The sequence below is a fragment of the Homo sapiens genome, chromosome 22 (genome assembly GCF_000001405.40).
Source record: "Homo sapiens chromosome 22, GRCh38.p14 Primary Assembly".
NCBI lineage: Eukaryota > Metazoa > Chordata > Mammalia > Primates > Hominidae > Homo > Homo sapiens.
This window is the reverse complement of record NC_000022.11, coordinates 28,428,471-28,450,056: the sequence shown is the minus strand read 5'-3', so window position 1 is coordinate 28,450,056 and position 21,586 is coordinate 28,428,471. Positions and strand designations below refer to the sequence as shown.

The 21,586-nt window shown below is 38.6% G+C and overlaps 1 protein-coding gene across 11 annotated transcripts in view, besides 2 other annotated features; it reads left to right on the top strand.

Annotated features, from left to right (window-relative positions):
• The window catches only part of TTC28 (tetratricopeptide repeat domain 28), a 701,827-nt gene that overhangs the window by 229,784 nt on the left and 450,457 nt on the right, over positions 1 to 21,586 (top strand). For 2 of the 11 annotated variants that reach the window (NM_001393405.1, NM_001393404.1), the window contains exon 1: positions 6,398 to 7,171. The exons of the other annotated variants lie outside the window; for them this stretch is intronic. In NM_001393405.1, the coding sequence (NP_001380334.1) occupies positions 7,145 to 7,171 (27 nt within the window). In that variant the 5' untranslated portion in view covers positions 6,398 to 7,144. Of the gene's footprint in view, positions 1 to 6,397; positions 7,172 to 21,586 lie in introns of those variants that run through there. 11 annotated transcript variants of the gene reach the window in all.
• Positions 6,407 to 7,354: an enhancer, noted in NCBI's record as "H3K27ac-H3K4me1 hESC enhancer chr22:28838691-28839638 (GRCh37/hg19 assembly coordinates)". NCBI's record gives its function as "activates a minimal SCP1, AML or CMV promoter by ChIP-STARR-seq in primed H9 embryonic stem cells {active_cell/tissue: H9 hESC(primed)}" and the evidence as "EXISTENCE:reporter gene assay evidence [ECO:0000049][PMID:30033119]".
• Positions 7,559 to 7,708: a silencer, noted in NCBI's record as "silent region_13579". NCBI's record gives its function as "represses an Ori minimal core promoter by ATAC-STARR-seq in GM12878 lymphoblastoid cells {active_cell/tissue: GM12878}" and the evidence as "EXISTENCE:reporter gene assay evidence [ECO:0000049][PMID:35858748]".

Genomic DNA, 21,586 nt, shown 5'->3' with positions numbered 1-21,586 from the left:
ACTTCACATCCCTGTGCCTCTAAGTACCTTAGATCCTACAAGTCTTAAACAGAATTCAGTATCCAACATTTTTTTCTGTGATCTATACTTCAGTTAGTGGAGTGTCTCTTTTTCTAACGGATGGTGAAACATTTGGGGATCACCTTTAAATCCTTCTTGGTTCCTTTCATGAAACAGGCTCTTAGGACCTGTTTGACTTGTGAAATGTCTCTCAGAAAGGTCCTTTTTCTGTTTCTGCTGCCCTAATTCAAGGCCTCTTCATTCCTTATTGTTCTGTTGCAACAGAAACTTATTTGGCCTTCCTGTCTTTGTTGTTTTCCTATTCTTTCCATCCTCCACAATACTTGCAGAATTATCAGCATAAAACTCAAATAGATTTGTCAATACCTTAATTAAAATCTTGTTCTGGCTCATCATTGTATTCTAAGTCAGAAGTTAAAAGCAAGGCTTTGGATCTGACTGACTTGAATTTCCTTTCTTCTACTTTCTAGCCATGATACATTGGGAATTTGCTTAATTCTTTAGCCTTAGCTTCCTCTCCTATAACATGGGCATAATAATAGTTCCTCTACATAAGAGTGTTAGGAAGATGTTATTTGAATGAAATAAAAAATGTTAAAATATTTCAATGCTTGGTACATACTCAATAAATGATAGCTATTATTGTACTGTTAAGAGAATAGCATTCACAGCCTTCCACAGGTCATTACAGCTTGGCTTGCATTATAGATTTCAGATCTATTAGATGCTTGCTAATGTAGCTCATGCTTTTATACCTCCATGATTTGGCTCATGCTGTGTTCCCTACTTGTTGAGAGAATGCTGTGCCACCTCTCCTGTGAAACCATTCTCAGTTACTACAGTCAGACCTAATTACTCTTTAGGGCTTCCTTAGACTTAATGAGAGAATATGCCACTAATTATTCTCGTTCTTCTAGCACTTAGCTTTGGCTAAGAGTTGGGCTCTTAAGAGTCAGATAAATAGCAAGATCAGTCAGTGTTAGCTGCTATTGTTATTATTATTTTTATTAGTTGTGTACCTGTCTTCTCTTTTGACCTCCACCAGACTCCTGCCTCCTCAAGGGCAAAATCATCTGGTTCATTTTTGTTTTCTCACAGTGTCTACAGCACTCCCTTGTACATAATGAGTACTCAGTAAATGTGTTGTATTTAAAGGGTGGAACTTCAGCCTTTCTGGAGCTGCCTGATAGTGGAAGGAAGTGAGATGGGTAAGGTCAGAGGTGATCTGCTTTGAATGTTGTGGAGTGATCTGTAGCAGTTTTCTGCTAGGGGAATGGGAGCATGGTCCTGCATCACCTGGGCTGTGTGGCAGAATTCTTCCTGCAACAAGTTATTTTAATTTCTTTTCTAGCAAAGTGAGGCCTTGAGATTCTCGGATTACCCAACTGTGTGAAATGTCACTAATGAGGCAACATTTTTGTGGTGTCAAATACACTTCTACCTTTGTCCCTTTATTTTTCTAACACCTCCTTAGATACTTGAACACAATTTAGAGGTCTGTAGGAAAATTAACATATTTTTCAAATATGTTAATTTTTGAACAAATTTTGAATTGGTTCAAAATTTGAACAAATTTTTCAAATTTCTACGCCTAAAACACAATAAATATAAATAAGTATGAGGCTAGCCTTTTCAGGCATTTATCCTTTGATCAATGTCAGATACATCATTCCTTAGGAAATCTTGAAGAAATTTACAATGGAAAAAGATGTGTTTTCTTCATTTTCTCTTTCTTGCTTTTGTTCAGATTTGAATAGGCAAGTGGTTATTGAGTAAAATACTATTTTAATTGACTGTTCTTCAGTATTTGCATTTAGAGAAGTGATCTGCAAAGTGCTATGTTAAAAAATGAAGGAGACATAAAAATACCTACAGACCTGGGAAAATGTGTAATTACTATTTGATGCTGGATCTTTGAAACAATAATGTTAAATTTTAACATTCTGAACTATGCTGGCTTAGTAGCTCTATATAAATCATTCCTAATGAAAAAATATTGATACAATAGTAATTCTGTAAATATTTCAGGTGTAAATACAGGTTCAATTTGGAGTAAGCGAAAGAAAGAAGAAACAATAAGGTGATTTAAGATGGTGTGGGTATTTAAAGGCTTTAGGTAATAGTCCTCTGTCGAGTGGTACCTATTAAACGAAAGCCAGACAGCAGGGAAACAAGTGCTATACAGATCACAAATAAGCGACCCAAAGGAAATATACCTAAAAAATTGAAAACCAGTTTAAAGCCTTGTATCACTTTGAAGTTTTAGATTAATTATTTCTACAGAAACATAAATATATTTTCTCCCTTCTTGATACAGTTTACTGTTCTCAGATTCTGTATTCCCACCCCCAGTTTAAATAACTTTATTAAGTCCAGCAACATCTGAGCCTAAGACCGAGACTTCAGTCTACAGGCCATGTGTGGTATGCATATGGATTCACAGATGCGTTCAGAAAAACCACCCCAACAGATTAGGAAATACTGGGTCTCTTAATTTACGTATGAGAAACTGAAGCCTTGAGTGGTTTAAATCAGCAGTCACAAATTAGGACTTGCAGATGGAATTTAGCCCTATAGGCAGGTTTTGTTTGGCCTGTTAGGATGCTTTAGAATTTTTGAGCAAACAGTTAAAAGTTAGGAAATTTTTAGCTTCTCATGAAAATTTAGAGGATCTGATATTGCTGAATTGATATTTCTAAAGGACATCAATTGAGTTGCTTAGCAGTTGCCCCTTTTAACATGATTCATGTATCTTTAGGTTTACAATCCTCACAATTCCCTTTTTTTTTTAACCTGTCTCTGTTTCACTTATTTATGTTACTTGCCTTCCCTTTCTGAAAACTTTTGTTATATAGCAAGTCAGAAGTAAAGAAAGTAGAAATGTCTCTCTTAACTCTTAAAGCAATTGTAGGTTCCTAGCCCCATCACCCAGACAGTGGTTTATAAGAAAGAACCCTGGATTCTAGCTCTTCTGCTGCCATTGACTGGCTCTGTGGCATTGCACAGGTTACTTAGGTACTCTGAACTTCAGTTTTGTTTTCTGTCAAGTGGTCATAATAAGCATTTTAATCAGGCACAGAGTTTTCAGAAAAAACAGCTCTATAAAATCATAGTTAATATTTTGTTATATATTAGATTGCTTAAAAATGCAGTTTCAACTCTACCCTTTTCCTACTGTTTATAGCTTCAATGCTCTGCATCCTACAGGATAAAGTCCAAATTTCTTTGCCTTATCTGTTAGTCTGTTTTTGTATTGCTATACAGGACTGTTTATTGCTGTAAATTACCTGAGACTGGGTAATTTATAAAGAAAAGAGGTTTAATTGGCTTATGGTTCTGCAGGCTATACAGGAAGCATGGCACCAACATCTGCTTCTGATGAGGGCCTCAGGAAGTTTACAGTCATGGTCCAAGGCAAAAGGGGAGATGGTGCATCACATGGCAAGAGCGGGAACAAGATGGGGGGATGATGGTGGGGTGCTTCGCTGTTTTAAACAACCAGCTCTCAAGTGAACTCCGAGTGAGGACAGCACCAAACCATTCATGAGGGATCCAGCCCCATGATCCGAACCTCCCACCAGGCCCCACCTCTGACATTGGGGATTATATTTCAACATGAGATTTGGAGGGGATAAACATTCAAACTATATCGCCTTACAGTCAGCATTCCCAGCCATTTGGTTCCAACATACCTTGCCAAAGTATCTTTATATGGAATGGAATGGAATTTATTCACTATTCATTCTCCATCCTCCCACCCCCACACCCCATTCATTCTTTTGCCTTAAAAAATATTGAGTATTTGTTCCAGTATCTGTTCCAGGCACTGTTCTAGGCAGTAGGGATTACAAAGTTGAACAAGACAAAGTCCCTGCCTCTAACATTCCCATACTTGTATTTTAGATACCGGCTCGGTATTTTTATTTTGTATTTTGAACACATCTTAAGTATGTCTGCCTCCTTTGCTGACACTATTCTCTTCATTATCTTGTTTCTATTTCTTTTATTGTTTTATTCAACAAATATTGATTGATTGCCTGCTGTGTGTCAGACACTGTTCACTGGGTGTTGGTATTATAACAGTCAAGTCCCTGCTCCCTTGGAATTTATGTTCTTGTGGTGTGAATGAACATTTTAGAAATACATATGTGTGTGTGTGTGTGTGTGTGTGTGTATAGATATGTATGTCATCAGGGCTATGAAGGAAAATGTAACAGGGTAAGTAGGGTAGAAAGGAACAGTGTGAGAGTCATAGTGTATATTATCTTAGATGAGATTGTGAGAGACAGCCTTTCTATATGATATCTGAATAGACTCCTGAAGGGACTTAGGGAGGCAGCCAAGAGGGCATCTGGAGGAAGAGTAATCCAGGCAGAGAGCACAAGTGTATGGTTGGCATGTTCTGGGGACAGTGAGAGGGCAGTATGGCAGGTGCTGAGTAAGGGAATAGGAAAAGGGTAAAAGGTGAGCTCAGAAAGGTGGAGGGGTCCAGATCTTGAAGGGCATTACAGTCCATGGTAAGAACCTTGGCTTTTGGCTCCAGACTAAGCTGTGTCTCCTCTGAATTTTTACTTCAAGTTTCTTTGTGAAATCTTCCTTGACCATCCCAGTTTTTGATGATTTATCCTTGGTAATTCCTGGAGAACCTGAAATTATTGACCACCTAATTCATTTGTTGCTCAACTGACTAAACAGTGAGTGCCTGGTTGTCTTCTTACAGGTTTTTGGTTCTGTCCTAACTTCTTCGTAACTTTCTCCAGCATAAGGACTTAGTCTTATACCTTTCTATCCTATGTGATGCTTTGTATCTAGTTGATACTTAATGTATGTTTGTTTTGTGAGGCTCTGGCTTCAGATGTCAGCAGTAAGAATTTGTGATGTCTAAGAAAAAAGAGAGGACTTGGTGATAGATTACACATAAGGAATGATGTTTAGGTTTTAGTTTGTGATCCTGGAATAATAATGGTGTTGTAGATAGAGAAAGGAAAGTTGGGAAGAGAAGCCGATTTTGGAGTAGATTGATGAATTTGGTTTAAAATTTATTGAGCTTTCTGTGCTAGTAGCATATCCAAGTAAAGTTGTCCAGAATGATTTTGATATGTCAAATATATACAGAGTATTGGAGTTACTTGTGACTGCCGCCTGCAGTTATGTAATCTTCTCGAGCAGGGACAACATCTTACTCATATTTCTAGTACTTGGAACAGGGACTGGCAGTGAAATAATAGGTGCTTAAGTCAGTAGTACTTATTAAGTTTTTTGAGACGAGAAGTTCGCATGTAGCTATGATGCATGTCCTAGAAAAGGCATAAGCTCTAGTAGGGTCATTGTGGGTCTGAATTCTAGCCCCACTATGCTCTACCTGTGTGGTCTTGGTTGAGTAAATGAGCACTCTGAATCTCAGTGTCTGGAAAATGGAACTGTAAGACCTTCCTTGCAGGGCTGTGAGATAATGAATGTAGGCATAGGTTCTAGCATAGACTAGTGGCTCAATAAATAGTACCTGTTCATTCAGCTAAAATTGTTAATATTATTATTATAAAGATAATGCCCTCTATTGAATTTCAGATTCTCAGGCTTGGAAAAGAACTCAAAAGCAGTCCCTTTGAGTTAACTAATTGTTTTGGGTGTTTTAATGACTTACTTATACTGATATAGTTAGTGATCAATCTGCATATAATCTCCCACATTAGCTAATCCTGGGAATGCATACAGAAGTCTGAGGGTAATAAGTTAAACATTGTTGGAACATTGGTACATCAGTTACTATTATTATGCATATCAGTTGGTATTCTAGTAGTTTACCCATTATATTCCCAGCTATCAAAACAGCTTTATGGTGGTTTAGGAGTTGACAGACATGTTGGATGATAAATAGTAGAATTATATAATATTTTTATATTTGTAGATGTATCTCCTTAAATAGGATGGAATGATTTCACAGAAGATGAATGAAACTCAATCCCCATAGAAATATTTTTTATAGTAATGAAATTAGTGCTAAATTTAGAGAAGGAAATGGAATCTATTAAAGTTCATTGGGGGTAAAATTCTTGATTAAAATATTTTATTCTGCCAGATACTTCAAATCTTTTTTCTTCAAATCAGAAATTAAGATTTTGGCCTAGAGTACTTTCCTTTTCCTTTTTTTTCTCTAGATATAACTGCCTTACAAGTCTAAGTATGTCTTTTGAAATGATTTCCTGACCGCTTAGGTGTTTTTGGCTTTGATTCCTTAGGAGCCGTTGGGTGCCTCTGAAACTGCATGCTTTACTTTTTGTGTTGGAGCAGATGTCGTGGCACTAAGACCCAGAAACCGTTTGCTCTGTGTGGCTGAAGCTGGGCTGGCTGTGCTCGCACTGAAGGGAAGGAAGTCATTAGTGCAGACTGAGCTGTGGAGTTGGGTTCTTGCAGGATTTCCTTCCAGCCTTTCCCCACTAAGGTTCTTGGGAATTAAAAAAAAAAAAATCTAAACACACAAACCAAGTTTTCCTATTTACAGTGTTCAGGGAAGGTAGGCATTTCGAGAAGGGCAGATCCTTTTCCCAAGTTATCCAAGAAGGAAGCGAAAACAGCGTAAAGAAGCTCTGATTACAGATCTTTGGAATTTTCTTTGCTAAATTTTACAAACGAGAAATACACCCAGAATTGTGGGAATTGCTCCAGGCTGCGCGTGAGGGTTTGATTGCTTGTCTAATCTTTTTTGAGAAGAGGAGAATTCGCCAAAAGGGGTTTGGATGGTAGAAGCCCGGCTGGGATTCTGTAGCAGCCCGCGTTCTCAGTCTCTTCTCTGAGGGAGGGTCTCTGCAGCCAGCTTGGAGACCCCCTGCTACAGGCTCCTTTTGCAGGCGCCGGCCGGGAAAATGCCCCGCTCTGGCAGGAGTACGCCGGTGGCTGCTGGGACTTCCTAGCCTGGTGGGAAGTGTGTTCGTGGTTTGGGGATACTTTTCATTGAACTGAAGGCGAAAAGACTGGACTCTCCTGGGGCTTTTCCCTTCGCAGTGAATATGGGAAAGAATTAGGGGGTGGGAGGGAGGCAGCATGACTTGCAGTCGTCGCTGCCCTGCATCTGCCCCCAGCCCCCAGCCAACATCTTGATGTTCCACGTATCGGCTTTACAAATATGATGAAATGGCAGCCCCGGAAGAAGGTAAGTGTCCTGGAGAGGGGAATGGGGCCCCAAAGCCCAACCCGGGGAAGGGTAACACGGGGCGGTTACCTTCAGGTCTCTCCACCCCTTCCGTAGTTTGCTGGGCCAGCTGGTCCAAACAGCCCTGGTTCCTTTGGGACTTGCATCAGTCCCTTAGGGACGAGTTACCAAATCTGGTCTGCATCCACTGCCCTTTAAGTTTTTCCTTCATGATATGCCTGGAGCCCCAGGGGTGACAGCTCGGAAGCACCCGTTTGCTTTAGAAGTCCTGTGCAGACAGCGACACGATTAGCTTTGCAGGAGCCAGCCAAGACCTACTAGGTGTTGCCCCATGGCGGGGCGTGGGGCGGGAGTGGATTTGAGGCTGCACCCCTGACACAGGCCCCGCAGGTGGTGTTATAACACCTATTTCCCCAAGGGGTTAAAAGGCTCTGAGCCGCTGGCAGCCGTTTCCCCAGGGCCCCGCTGGGGGGCGAGCAGCCCCAGCACACCAGCCCAGCAGCTGGTTCCGGGGCGGCGGGCCGAGAGGCCTCCTGCCTGAGCGCCTGGGGCTGGCCATAGCCGGGCCTTCAGCCTGCGGGGCTCCTGAGGCCTCGTGGGCCCGTGCGATTGCCTGCGCTGGCCATTGTGCACGGGCGTGTGTCTGTGCGTGTCAGCGTGCACCAGCGTGTGTGAATCGATCATGGGGAAAAGGGGGAGGGGGCACTTTGCTTTTTGCGAGATTATTTCCTAATATGGCTCCTTTGTTGAGAACTCAAGAAAAAAAAAAATCCAGCGGTTCTATCAAAATAAATTGCTATTGGTCCCAGAAATAACGTTTCTAAATGTGGGACTGGTCCCTACCCTAGGACGTCGAGGGAGAAAGACAGCTTTCTTCAAGTTGTTGGCCGCTGTACATTTGGCTAGGGCTCCTTTTTGCCAACTTGTCTGACTGCCCCTAACTGTTAGGCGAACCCAGTTGTTCACTGCATAACAGGCCTTTTTTTTTTTTTTTTTTTAAACTTCAAATACCTCATTTGGCCGTGGTTTTTATTGACATTCTTCTGAAGGAAAACATAGCAAACTGAATGTGCTGTGGTCCTCTCCAGCCTTGACCTGTCTCTGTTAGCCGCTGCCTGGTTTTTACTTGAACTAGCTAAACTGACTCTTTTCTTTGTGGCACGATGTGTGATACTGTGTTTTATATCAGAACTGAAATAGAAATCATGTGTGAGGTGCATGAGAAGATATTGTGCATTTGTTTTATTGCTAGAGAATCTAACAAACCCTGCCTTAGCATAGCCTGGCGAATTGAAAGGTTTTCTTTGATATCTAATTGATGGCATTTTGTCCTCTGACCCTGTGTCTTTTCTACTTCATCCTGAAGTCAAGAATCTCTTATATATTATAATAGTTCTCATCACAGAGCTTCTTTCAGTGAGATTGATTCCATTCACTTTGGTTGAGAGAACTATATATTCCCCACCCCCACCTCCAACCCCAATACAGACAGAACGAGGAAAACTCATAGAAGAAACCATATAATTAAGCAATTTAAACAGATGCTGCGTATTCCTAAAGTCCCCCATTTCTTCTATATTTGTAATTGCATGTTTATGAGTAGTTTTAAGATGTCTGCAAACTCTACATTCATAAACGTCTGCTTTTTCTATTTTACCCAATATGCAGTAACTCATGTGGTTATGTCTGTGGAAACCCCTCTGGGTACTGGTATTGCTTGAACCACGGAAGTATTATTCTTGGCAGTCAGGTGGATTTCTGGACTCTGGAAGATTCTGTTTCAAGTGTTAGGATTCACTCTGCAGTATTTACTCACTCTGTGATGCTTAAATTGCTATACCAGAAGGTTGTATTTATTCACTGTATTCATAATCTCATATCATCATGTTGTAAAGATCCAGATACAATTCTTCAGAGTTCATAAAAGATTAAAAAATAAGCTGAGCCATCAAATACCATATGCTTATTTGGTGGTAGCTTGACAACAATTCTTGTTTCTTCTACATTGGAAATAGGAGCTCCCTTGGAAGAGATTAGATATCCAACTCTGGTAGGGCACCAGTAAGTCTTTACAAAGATTAGGTTTATTTTCTTACTCTTGCCAGAATACTCACATGATCAGATCATTGCCATGGTTTCTGGCTCAGTCTGCTAACACATTTGTAGTGATACAGTCACATGCCATGTGTTTTACCAAACGGTTTCATAAAAACCATTTACCCTACAGATGAAAAGTGATACTGCATTGATGTGATTTTAACAAAGCTAGGAAGATCATCCAAAGAGTGCTACCCCAAGCAGCATTTGTGGTAGCTTGCTATCATGGTGTCCTGTCAGTCACTACTAGTTTTGGCTTTTCTAAATCCTAGGCTCACTGTAAGAGAGTGATTATAGGTTCTAGATTTCTTTGTTTCTAATGGAGCATGCAGCTGGGGTATATGATTGAACGGGAGCTCTCTCCTCTCTTTTCTCTGCTTACTTGCTGGATTAATCTAAATACTAAAACAAGCTTTTTAAAGGTGTGAGTCTGCAATATTCAGTTAGGGTTTGCAACCTTTTCACAAAGAAACTGTCAGAACAAAATTAATCATGTTCTGCCCCCAGTGTCAATGAGGACCTTAGGTCCCAGTCTTCTAGAGTGCAATAGGTCTCCCACCAAGAGCCATGTAATTGCCCTAAAAAGCAAGATTCACAAGTATATACTTATATGTCCAAATTCATTCAATTGTATAAATTAAATGTGTACAGCTGGCTGGTCGTGATGGCTCACGCCTGTAATCCCAGCACTTTGGGAGGCCGAGGCGAGCGGATGACCTGAGGTCAGGAGTTCGAGACCGGCCTGGCCAGCATGGTGAAACCCCGTCTCTACTAAACATACAAAAAATTAGCCAGTCGTAGTGACGGTGCCTGTAATCCCAGCTACTCAGGAGGCTGAGACAGGAGAATCGCTTGAATCTGGGAGGTGGAGGTTGCGGTGAGCCGAGATCACGCCATTGCACTGCAGCCTGGGCAACAAGAACAAAACTCTGTCTTAAAAAAAAAAAGTGTACAGCTTTTTATATGTCAATCATACCACAGAAAAGTTTAAAATAAAAAAGCAAGATTCTGAGCAGTTAACCCAACCTTGTCATGGTAAGAATGGCATTTAATATCATACAAATAAACAGCTATAATTTTAAAAGCACTTGTTCTATGCTAGTCATCTTTAATTGCTCTATATGTGTTTATTTAATTCTTATCCAGTGAGGTGGTAGGTGTTATAATTTGTATTTTACATATAAGCAAACTGAGGTTTAGAGGGGTGAAGTGACTTACCCAGTCACATAGCATGGTAGGATCACAGCTAGGATTGGACCAGGCCTTATTTACTTCAAAATGTGTGTTATTTACCATTATACTTGGGAATTTTTCTGACCAGGGATTTTTATCCAAGAAAGATAAAGCTGAGATGATCCCAATAAATGAATGTTAGCCAGAGCTTTGCTCCGTCACTTCTAGATACTAGCACCAAGGTGCTCTTCTTCCCATTCCCCTTTCCTCTTGAGAAAAAAAACCATAGTGATTTTACCCACCTCTGAATTCTTGGAGCATTTAGAGTCTGTGCCTCTGTAAGTGGATTGTCTTTTATTGGTTGTAATCTTTTGGTCTCCTTGTGCATATATCTCTATTTGTGTATATATCTTGCCTCCTCATTACACTTAAAACTCCTTGAGTTCAGGAACCATATTTTACAACTCTTTTTTTGGTGCCAAGGATAATATAGTTGCTCAATATATACTTATTTGTTATGAAAGTAAATCAGAACTATTTTTAAAACCTATATTTTTAGGCTTTCTTATATTTCAGTTGATTCATAGATGCAGACTGTAGTGGATTGTTAAAGAAAACCAGAATATTTTGTCACTCATTTCTAATCTTTTGTAGACAATAGTAGGGAGGGAGAAATCACACTCTCGGCAAAATCTCAGTGAAAGTCATGGTTAAAACATAGTACCAGGCTCTGTCAACCAGGTACCCCATCCAGTGTCATGATTCTTTTATTCATATAACCTTATTGGCCTGGAAAAATATACTTTCCCGTTTTTACCTTTAGTCAAGAGACTACATCATGCATCACATCTTTATCTTATATTTGCAGAAATGATAGTAATTAAAATGCTCATCTCATAGGAACATGTTTGTTTATAATTCTGAAGCTATTTCTGCTCTTTAAAATCCAAGGATTAGTATCAGATAACACTGTGTAAATAAGACTGCAGTCAAAACCTTCAGGAAAGCTGCTGCTGATTGGATTTTTTCATTGCTCATCTAATGTTATTTTACTGTTCACACATAATAAAAGACCATTAATAGGAATATGTCGACATAAGCTACATTAATTATGTCATTTGAGAGTCATATGATATATTTATCTTGTTATACTTGTCACATTAATAAAATGTGAATCTGGCTCTCAAATGATTTCTCTGATGGAGTTCCATTTAAAAGCCTTGTTTGGAAGCTCATTTGTGAGGATTATGCCCTGTAGATTTGTGTCTTAGAATAGCTTATTACTTTTACAAAAGAATGTATTTCAAGTCCCTATGCTTTCTCTATGATGGAGTACTTTGTTTCTGTATTATAAGGCTAAGTCTTAAATTTTAATATGCCTATACTAAATTACTTAGTTACTTGCCAGAATGCTGTGCTAGTTGGTATTATTATATTATTCATTTTGGGCCACAATTTATTTAATAGTATAACATCAGACTTTAAAAATAAGTATTGTGGACAAAAGTAGTTATACAGAGAAGTCTTAGAAATTTCATGATAGTAGTCTTTCTTCAAATCCATTCTATACTCCATTCCCAGATCAGTGCAACCAAGAGACCCAGGTTTTGGTTCTGGCGGATCTCTTGACTCTTGGCCTTGGGGGAGTCACTTAATCTTTCACATTTGACTCCCCACTGTTATAGTTAGTGCCTCATTATTATCACTTGCTGGATTTATTGCAAATGTCATCCTAATGAATTTTCTTTTTCTGGCCTCTTTTTTCCCCCTCTAATCCTTCCAAGTAATTACTTAAAAAAACACATGTCTAGCCTAGGGAACATGGCAAAACCTCATCTCTACCAAAAAAACAAAAATTAGCCAGGTGCACTGGTGCACACCTATAGTCTCAGCTGTGTGGGAGGCTGAGGTGGGAGAATTGATTGAACCCAGTAGGTTGAGGCTGCAGTGAGCTGTGATAGTGCCGTTACACTCCAGCCTGAGTGACAGAGCAATACCCTGTATCAAACAAAGCAAAAAAACAAACTCCCAAACAAAAAAAATGCATATCTGTTCATATTACTCACCTTCTTAAAGCCCTACCCTGTTTCTTCCTTGTCTAGTAAATGTTCTCCAAAGTTGGATAAGCATAAACTGGGCTGGGGTGAGAGGGGATGGTTGCAGGAAAATGACTGCATATGGGAAAATCTGAGAACTTATGTTTTTATGTATTTTTATATTCTAAAAGAATAAGAGCTGGGTGCAGTGGCTCATGTCTGTAATCTCAGCACTTTGGGAGGCTGAGGCGCGTGGATCACTTGAGGCTAAGAGTTCGAGACCAGCCTGACCAACATATTGAAACCCCGTCTCTACTAAAAATACAAAAATTAGCCAGGAATAGTGGTGCATGCTTGTTAACCCAGCAACTCAGCTGGCTGAGGCACGAGAATCGCTTGAACCCAGGAGGCAGAGGTTGCAGTGAGCTGAGGTCATGCCACTGCACTCCAGCCTAGGTGACAGAGCGAGACTCTGTCTCAAAAAAAAAATTAAAAGAATAAGAAATAAAATAAGCTTTACTGATCTTCTGATATGATTTGTCACTTGAGCTTTCCTTTGCTGAAAGGTCAAAGGGATTCTTAGTGGTGCCCACTCACTGTTGAAGTCATTTGTTCACTTTCAGTGTGTTGTGGCGTATTGTAGTTTACATCATAAAATATCCACCTTAAACAATTAATTTTATTCAAAAGAAGAAGATGAAAAAGAAGACTGTAGTATAGGTTGTAGCATGATGGAGAGGATGGACTCTGAAGCTAGACTGCCTGGGCATGAGAATTCTAGTCCAGCCTCTCAGCAGCTGTGTAGCCAAGTTACTTAACTTCTCTGTACTTCAGAGATCTCAGCTATTTAATGTGAATGGCACCTAGCTCTTAGTGTGACTCTGTAGTTATAATGTAAAATGCTTACGAGAGTTCCTTGCATATAAAAAGTACTTAATATGTTTTTCCTCGTAGTATGATAATACTCCATAGTCTAGCTGGACATGGCTCACTAAGTTTCTTTCCCCTTTCTAGAGGGCCTTCTCCTCATGTTCTTCTTAACTTGCCTTCCTTTTGTTACTGGTTATACTTTAAGAACTAACTCAGCCTTCTCCTCCTTGGTGAATCCTTCTGTAAGCAGTTCTTCTATTGCCAGGCATAGATGGCCATACCCTCCTTTGACTATATTTTTATAGGCCACAGTTGTAGCCCTGTACTGAAGCTGTCAGTATGTCTGTCTCTATCAGTTTAAAGTTTTGAGGGCATAGGCACAGAAGAGGAGCTGAATGAATGAATGTATAAATGATGAATATATTTATGGGATGAGATGCACAGTGATCTTCAGTCAGTTGGCAAGATCTTCTGACCGGCCAGTTATTAGAAATGCTAAGCTTGCAAATTTATCTCTATCCATTTATCAACCTCTCAGAAATGCAATATTGAATATAAGTGAGGGTGACTTATTCATTAGTAACGAGGGTGACTCATTAAAGGGATAATCTTAACTATGCACCTATTAAAATTAAAGTCACAGTTATGAGGTGGTGGTTGTGTAATATTGTGCATGTACTAAACGCCACTGAATTTAATATTTTAAATGGTTAATTCTATGTTATGTGAACTTCCTTTCAATTAAAAACAGGGGGAGGAGATGGGAAAGTTACAGTTATTTGTGACACAGCTCACAACTGATCATGTGATATCAGTGCAGGAGTGCCATGGTTGTAAACCACCAGACTAAATCTTTACTCCTTTTAGTCCTAAATATTTTTGATTCTGTAAAATTGGTAGGGAATGGTCATCTATAGAAAACTACTTCCAGGAACATTTGAGAAGATGGGAATAGTTGATAGACTTGACAAGAAGTGAAGGAAGTCAGTGATGAAGAAATCTGAGTTGGCACCTTTACTATTCAGGAGCTAGCCAGTAAACATTGCCAGTGTAAGAGGCTACAGAGTTTAATTGGCCCAACTTCAAGAAAGGGCGCCAGCAGCCACCTTCATTTTGCTAGTCAGTCACAGTGATGACATGCTGTGGAAAACCTGAAATCCCGGCTGGCCCTGTCAGCTTTAGCTTCTACAGTGAATTCATTATATCATTAATAACAATGTATGTCTCAGCTTTAAGACTTTGCTTTTATTGATGTGCTAAAACCATGTCATTTTATTGAAAGCTGTAAGAATTATATCATTTAACTGACATTTTCAGGATTTATAGGAAACCTTTGTCCTGAACTTTCTTGTTAGTCCACCCTTTTTAGGTTCTTCTAGCTAAGAGGAGTTCTCACATTCTCACATGATTGAATTCTTTAACTGTATTCCCTTTTCAGCACATTTTGCCATTTAGAGTATTCTGTTAGGGTGTTCTGTCATTGTTATTTTGAGTATTCTGTCCTTTTTGCATGCATTTTAAGAAAAAACATAAAATTATGTTCTTTGACTTACACCTTCTGTATACTAAGCAGCATTTTTAGAGAAGTCTTGTGAAATAAGCTTGAAGGCAGTTGTCAAAGCTGCATATAAGCTTTTTTGCTGGTAGATATCTCTCAATTTGAACTATTAAAGAATGAAATTTATCTATCTTATATCTGGTTAGTAAGCCAATGGTCATTCATGAATGCACCCATATTTCCAGCACCATTTACTTTGTGAGAGGTAATATTTTAGATTTACATCATATTGGGGGCCTGAGACTTGTAGAAGCACAGATGTTGAGGCAAGCCCGAGTTACGGAGCAGCTGACATTTGGAATAGGGGCCTGGTAGAGTTGGGAGCCGGGAGGTCTTTGTGGGAACTGATTGTTTGGACACACACTCTTCCAAAAACTCAATGTATATAGGCTTGAACCTATAAAGATGGTAGAGGGGAGTAGGGAAGGATGAAATCCAGGAGTATTAGATATTTTGGGAGCTGTGTTTATGAAGTAGAGATTTTCAGGCATAAGTAAGACTGTTGTTTTTTTGAAGAGAAAATGTCACAGTGAGTGATGGTGGATACATGATCATTTTGGTAGGCGTTGAGTCTTTACTGCTTAATAATTAGTTTTTGTTTTTGTTTTTCCAACAGAGGGTGGAATGGAGAGTAGAGATGGGGTTTCACCTTGTTGGTTAGGCTGGTCTCGAACTCTTGACCTCAAATGATCCGCCTGTCTCAGCCTTCCAAAGTGCTGGGATTACAGGCATGAGCTACCACTGCCCCATACCTGCCCATTTTTTTAGGTGAAGTTTTCTAAAATATATTACATATTTTCTGCCTTCTTAAACAGAAGGTACTAAGCATGATTTAACTTTCTCCTGATTACTCAGTATTATTATCACAAGCATGAATTATTCTACTGCTCTAACACAGTAAACCTTTAGGAGCTTTTAAGGAATGTAGAATTATTTATTTCTATACTAAATGATCCCAGATTGATGTTTTATTTCTTTTAAAATAATTTTATGTCTTCTTTGTATGGTTTTTATTTTTCTTTCCATGTTGCTGAAGGTAATACTGTTGTCATGTAAATTCATCAACTATCTACTTATTAAACTAAGAAACCCCAAAAAGCTTGACATTTGTTCTCCCTTTATACTTTCTGGTTTTAGGCTATGTTTTAAATAGTTGAGGTAGTTAAATAAGTGACCTTTTGATAAATAAGATAATATTTATTGTGGTATTGATGACCAAGAATTAGATATATTTGAGGATGCAGTGTCAGAGACTGAAAACATTTTGAATGATTGGCTAAATGCCACTATAGTTTCCCCTTTTCTGATTTTTGCTTTGGTGTATCTGACTTGCCTTTTTTTTCCCCCAGTAACTTATTCAAACAAACACACACAATACAAAACCATGGTGGAAGGAACTAGTATTAGAGGTTTATGTGAAGGGTAGAATTACATATCCTGGAGAGCATATGCAATTGCTTTTAAGAAGAAATGACCAAGGAACCCATGTGATTAATACATAATTAATACATATTTAAATATTAACTAGTTCTATATTAATTAAAATGTTATTTTTAGTGACACAAATATTATTTATTTTAGAGAATCCTTCTTGTTTTAGCCTAGGCTTTTGCTAGATAGTATTTATAATACTTAGACTAAAACATTTGTAAAAGAAAAAGAACCTTAAGGAGCATTTGATTTTGCAGACTAGTAAGCAGAGTAGCAGAAAGGTAAACTGGTTCCCTTGGGATCACATAGCTATTCAGAAGCTGGCTCTTGACCTGGGTACTTTAAGGGGGAGGGCCGTATCCACTGGGCTTCTCTCCTTCTGCTTCTTTAGGAGTTTGCAATCTAGGGTTTGGTTTGTTTATAAGAAAAGTCTCCATCTCAAAAGAATAAAAAATAAATAAAAGACAAGACAGTTTTATAGACAGTATATTTTGAAGATACCGAGAAATTTATTTGCTTTCAGATACATTTTCTATAACTTATTTTTCTAAAATTCCTTTGTGCTGAGGCTTTAAAAATCATAGGAAAATGCAAATTTGATAGTAACATTTGTGTGCTCTTTGTTATCTTTGCTGGCCAGTCATCCAGCAAGATGTTGAGAAACAGGATCCATATAACCACTTGATGTAGCTGGTAGGGAGGATTCATGAAACATCAAGACCATAGTGACTGTGTGAACTGTTCTGACAGGCCCACTTTGGTGGGGACCCTGGGTAGTCAAGAAACAACATTAAGGGGTCTGTGTTTTGAGGGGACAGGAGAAGAAGATAGTTGAGAATGAAGATAGAGGATGTTGACCACAAACTTCACATACTTTATAATTTCAAGGGAGGATTAGCTTTAGGTTACTGTAGATGATGCAAAGGACCAAGAGAAGGGAAGAAAAATTAATGACTACTATCAATAAAGGTAGAATAACTTAGGTGAAAAGTAAGTAGTTTGTCAGTTTACACAAATACAAAATAGATCTCATTGATAAGTAAATCATAACTGCATATGCTTGTCATTGTTCTAATTATTTCTGATGCTAGCGTGGTTCTCAAGAAATTTTAATGAACTATATAAATGCTGTCCTATTCATAGTATTCATGAAACAAGCAATTTAGAAGAACTGGGCTATTATAGAACCAATATTTCCAGTAAATAACTGTAAATGTGGGCAAATTGTGCTAATTTGAGCAGAACTCGGTGACTTTATTTTTTAAGGTGAATCTATAATATATCTTTGCATTGTCTCATATGAATTAAGAATGAATGAGAATGTAAAATTCCTAAAGCTAATTTTTAAAGTATTAACAAATCAATACATTTTACTGCTATTTATTTTATATTTTTTTATTTTTATTTTTATTTTATTTATTTATTTATTTATTTTGAGACAGAGTCTCGCTCTGTCACCCAGGCTGGAGTGCAGTGGCGTGATCTCGGCTCACTGCAAGCTCCACCTCCCAGGTTCACGCCATTCTTCTGCCTCAGCCTCCCGAGTAGCTGGGACTACAGGCACCCGCCACCACGCCTGGCTAATTTTTTTGTATTTTTAGCAGAGACAGGGTTTCACTGTTTTAACCAGGATGGTCTCGATCTCCTGACTTCGTGATCCGCCCACCTCGGCCTCCCAAAGTGCTGGGATTACAGGCATGAGCCACTGCGCCTGGCCTATTTTATTTTATTTTATTTTATTTTAAGACAGAGTCTCACTCTGTTGCCTAAGCTGGAGTGCAGTGGCATGATCTTGGCTCACTACAACCTCCTCCTCCTGGGTTCAAGTGATTCTCCTGCCTCAGCCTCCCAAGTAGCTGGGATTACAGGTGCATGCCACCACGCCCGGCTCATTTTTGTATTTTTAGTAGAGACAAGGTCTCACCATGTTAGCCAGGCAGGTCTCGAACTCCTGGCCTCAAGTGATATGCCTGCCTTGGCCTCCCGAAGTGCTGGGATTACAGGCGTGCGGCACTGTGCTTGGCCTATATTACTGATATTTAAACATTGATTGAAACAAGATGAAAATATGGAGAAACTTAGTACATTTCTTTATCTTTTTGTTTAAAATGTAAGCATAAAAATTCTAACTGTAAGAGATATCAGTTAAAGGAGGGATCTTAAGTTAACAGATTATTGACTGTGTGTAATTACATGTACAAGTAGAGTTACTATTTATATTGACCAAATAAACTAGGTAAGATTAATAGGCACAGAGGTATAATCTTACCATGGATGAGCTTTAAACATTAATATGAAATTGTACAGTTTTTGTTAAATAAAACCAGATATTTGTTTAGAGTTTAAAATATATATTATTCCTTAATAGACTGTGTAGCTATTTTAGAGACTGTTTCAATGACATGCTTCTAAATTAGAATAATTTTAAAAATCAAATTTATCATAAGTGATCATATTATTAAACATTTACTATAGCTGCAGGAGATGCAAAGATGAATAAAGTGCATTTCTCAGGCTACGATCTAGTAGTGGGGATAAGGCAAGTCCCCAAATACCTGAAATATGAGGTGGCATATGTTAAGCATCACCAGAGAGGCACAAAGTTCTCTGGAGAGTGAATTAAAGGAGAGGTCACAGCTAGATTGGATGGGAGATGAAGAAGTATTTGGAATTGGGGGTAGGAATGAGTGGACCAAGAGAGTCTTCACGGTAGAGTAGTATTTTAACTTGACTTGAAGGGTAGGCTGATTTTTACCAGGCAGAGATGAGGGAGTACATTCTAGGCAACAAGAAGAGGAAAGGCAAGCTCTGGGCATGTTTTTTTTTTTTTTTTCTTTTACAATGGTAAGGAATCTCAGTTTGGCTGGAGAATAGACTTCAAATGCCAGCTGAAATCCAGACGGTGATTGGCCTCAAAGATGGTGAAATTAGGTTTTTACATGCTTATTCTCCTCTTAATGCCCAATGAGTAACTGGTTTTTCTCCCATTTTCTTATTAAAGGAAAATGAAAAACTGAGTAGGCTGCAAATGATGGGATTTTATTTGGCTCTGCAAGGATTTTTATAAATACTACAGCAGCTGTTTACATGTTTTCCATGATTGCCCCATGCATATCAGAATGATTCTGCTCATTGTTTCATGCATAAGCCCACATTTGACTAGTTTATCTTTGAATGTTTGCCATTCTCATTTTGTTTGCACTCCTTTGGGTAATATTAGTTACCTGATGAAGGGACTCTCCTGTATTTGGAATTCCAAGCTCTTCCAACTTCAGAATGCCATGTCTTTACTACATATATTATGTAGTACTGTTAAACAATCAGTTTGAGATCTGTAGCACAATTCACAGAGCAACAATCTCTCCTGTATTTCCAAATAAAGTCTTTGAAGGGAATGATATTTGCAGAATGTGCTATAGTGGTAAATTTAGAGAGTACAAGATAATTACTTGTAATTATGGCAATTTCTGTAAGGGAAATCATCTTAATTTGTTCCCACTAAGAAATAGAATTGCTCTACTCATAGCGTGTGAATCTTTTTAGGAGATTAATGCGGTGTGCCTTCATTACTTTGAATGGACATTACAGCTTTTCACTACATCTGAAATTACCCCTTAATTCATGCTTCTGTTTGAATTTCTGCTAAATGCAGTCTTCACTAAAAAAAAAAAAAAAAAAAAAAAATCATATTCCAGAGCCCTTGTTGGAGAGAACTTACACATCCATCCTAAGCAAATTGTAAAAGAATAATACATCCCACATTCTCTTGTGGGAGAATAAACCCACAAAGAAGTCATAGTCTGGATGGTGAAAAGAGTCTTTAACTCATACTTGGAGCATTCTCCTGTCATGCTATTCTCTGAAGACTTTAAAATTTAGATGGCCTTTAGGCTGATTGGTAATTGCTGTGGCTTAAAAGGAATGCTGTGTCTCTGGGCATTTTTGTGAAGACAGAATTCTGTCTACTTTTTAATTTTTAAGTATTCAATTATACCATCTGGGAAAGGTAAGCCATGTGTAGGTTAAGACAGAGAGAAATTGAAGTGGGAAGAATGGGTTTACAGTATAATACAATTAATTGGAAAGAATATTGAAAAAGAAATGATGGACATATGTCTAGATGGGAGACAAAGGTGCTAAGTATAGAAAATTAACTTAGGCTATGATTGTCTGCAAAAATAAATGATTTCAGATTTTCAGAGCTGCTGGGGTTTTAAAATTTCTGAGTTTTTTTTCAGTTAGCACCTATTTGTTCACATTTTATAGGAATTTCTTTGGCTACAGTAAATCGAGGCAAGTATGTTAGTGCTAGAATTTCTATATCCCTTGATGCCAGGTGCAGTGCTCTGCATTGTGAAGACACTTTTCTGTGTTTGAGGCCCTGGAGGGAGAAAGGTAGCTTTGGCCATCATTTTTCAGCGATCAGAAGCCATGCTTCAGTACAGCAGCTTTTAGGTAGGATCAGGCAGAGGTAGTGAGATACAAAAGCTGCAAGTGACTCGAGAGCTGTTCTTTGATTTGGAAGTGTGTAGCCCTGTTCTACTAAGATCTGAATTTGTAGTCAAACTTTGATTAATTGATTGAATAATTATTTCTATATGCGTTTACTGGGGGCTTACTATGTGCCAGGTGCTGGCTATTTATATCATAATGAGGAGGCAAATTGAGTAACACTAATGATGACTCCACTATTTCAAGATTTGGGATACTTCAGTTTACTCTTTTAAATGTTTACTGAATTTAATTTATTAACTATAAGCTTTTTAATAATTCATGAAATGGGCTGGGCGCGGTGGCTCATGCCTGTAATCCCAGCACTTTGGGAGGCCGAGGCGGGCAGATCACGAGGTCAGGAGATCGAGACCATCCTGGCTATCATGGTGGAACCCCGCCTCTACTAAAGATACAAAAAAAATTAGCCGGGCGTGGTGGCGGGTGCCTGTAGTCCCAGCTACTCGGGAGGCTGAGGCGGGAGAATGGCGTGATCCCGGGAGGCGGAGCTTGCAGTGAGCTGAGATTGTGCCACTGCACTCCAGCCTGGGCAACAGAACAAGACTCTGTCTCAAAAAATAAAATAAAATAAAATAAAATAAAATAAAATAAAATAAAATAATAATTCATGAAATGTTAGAACTTGGGGGATGCAGATTCAGATATAATATGATCCCTATTCTCAATGAGCTTACAGTCTAGACAAGAAGTCAGAATAGAAAATGAATTATTGCAATACAGTACAATAACAGTGGTACC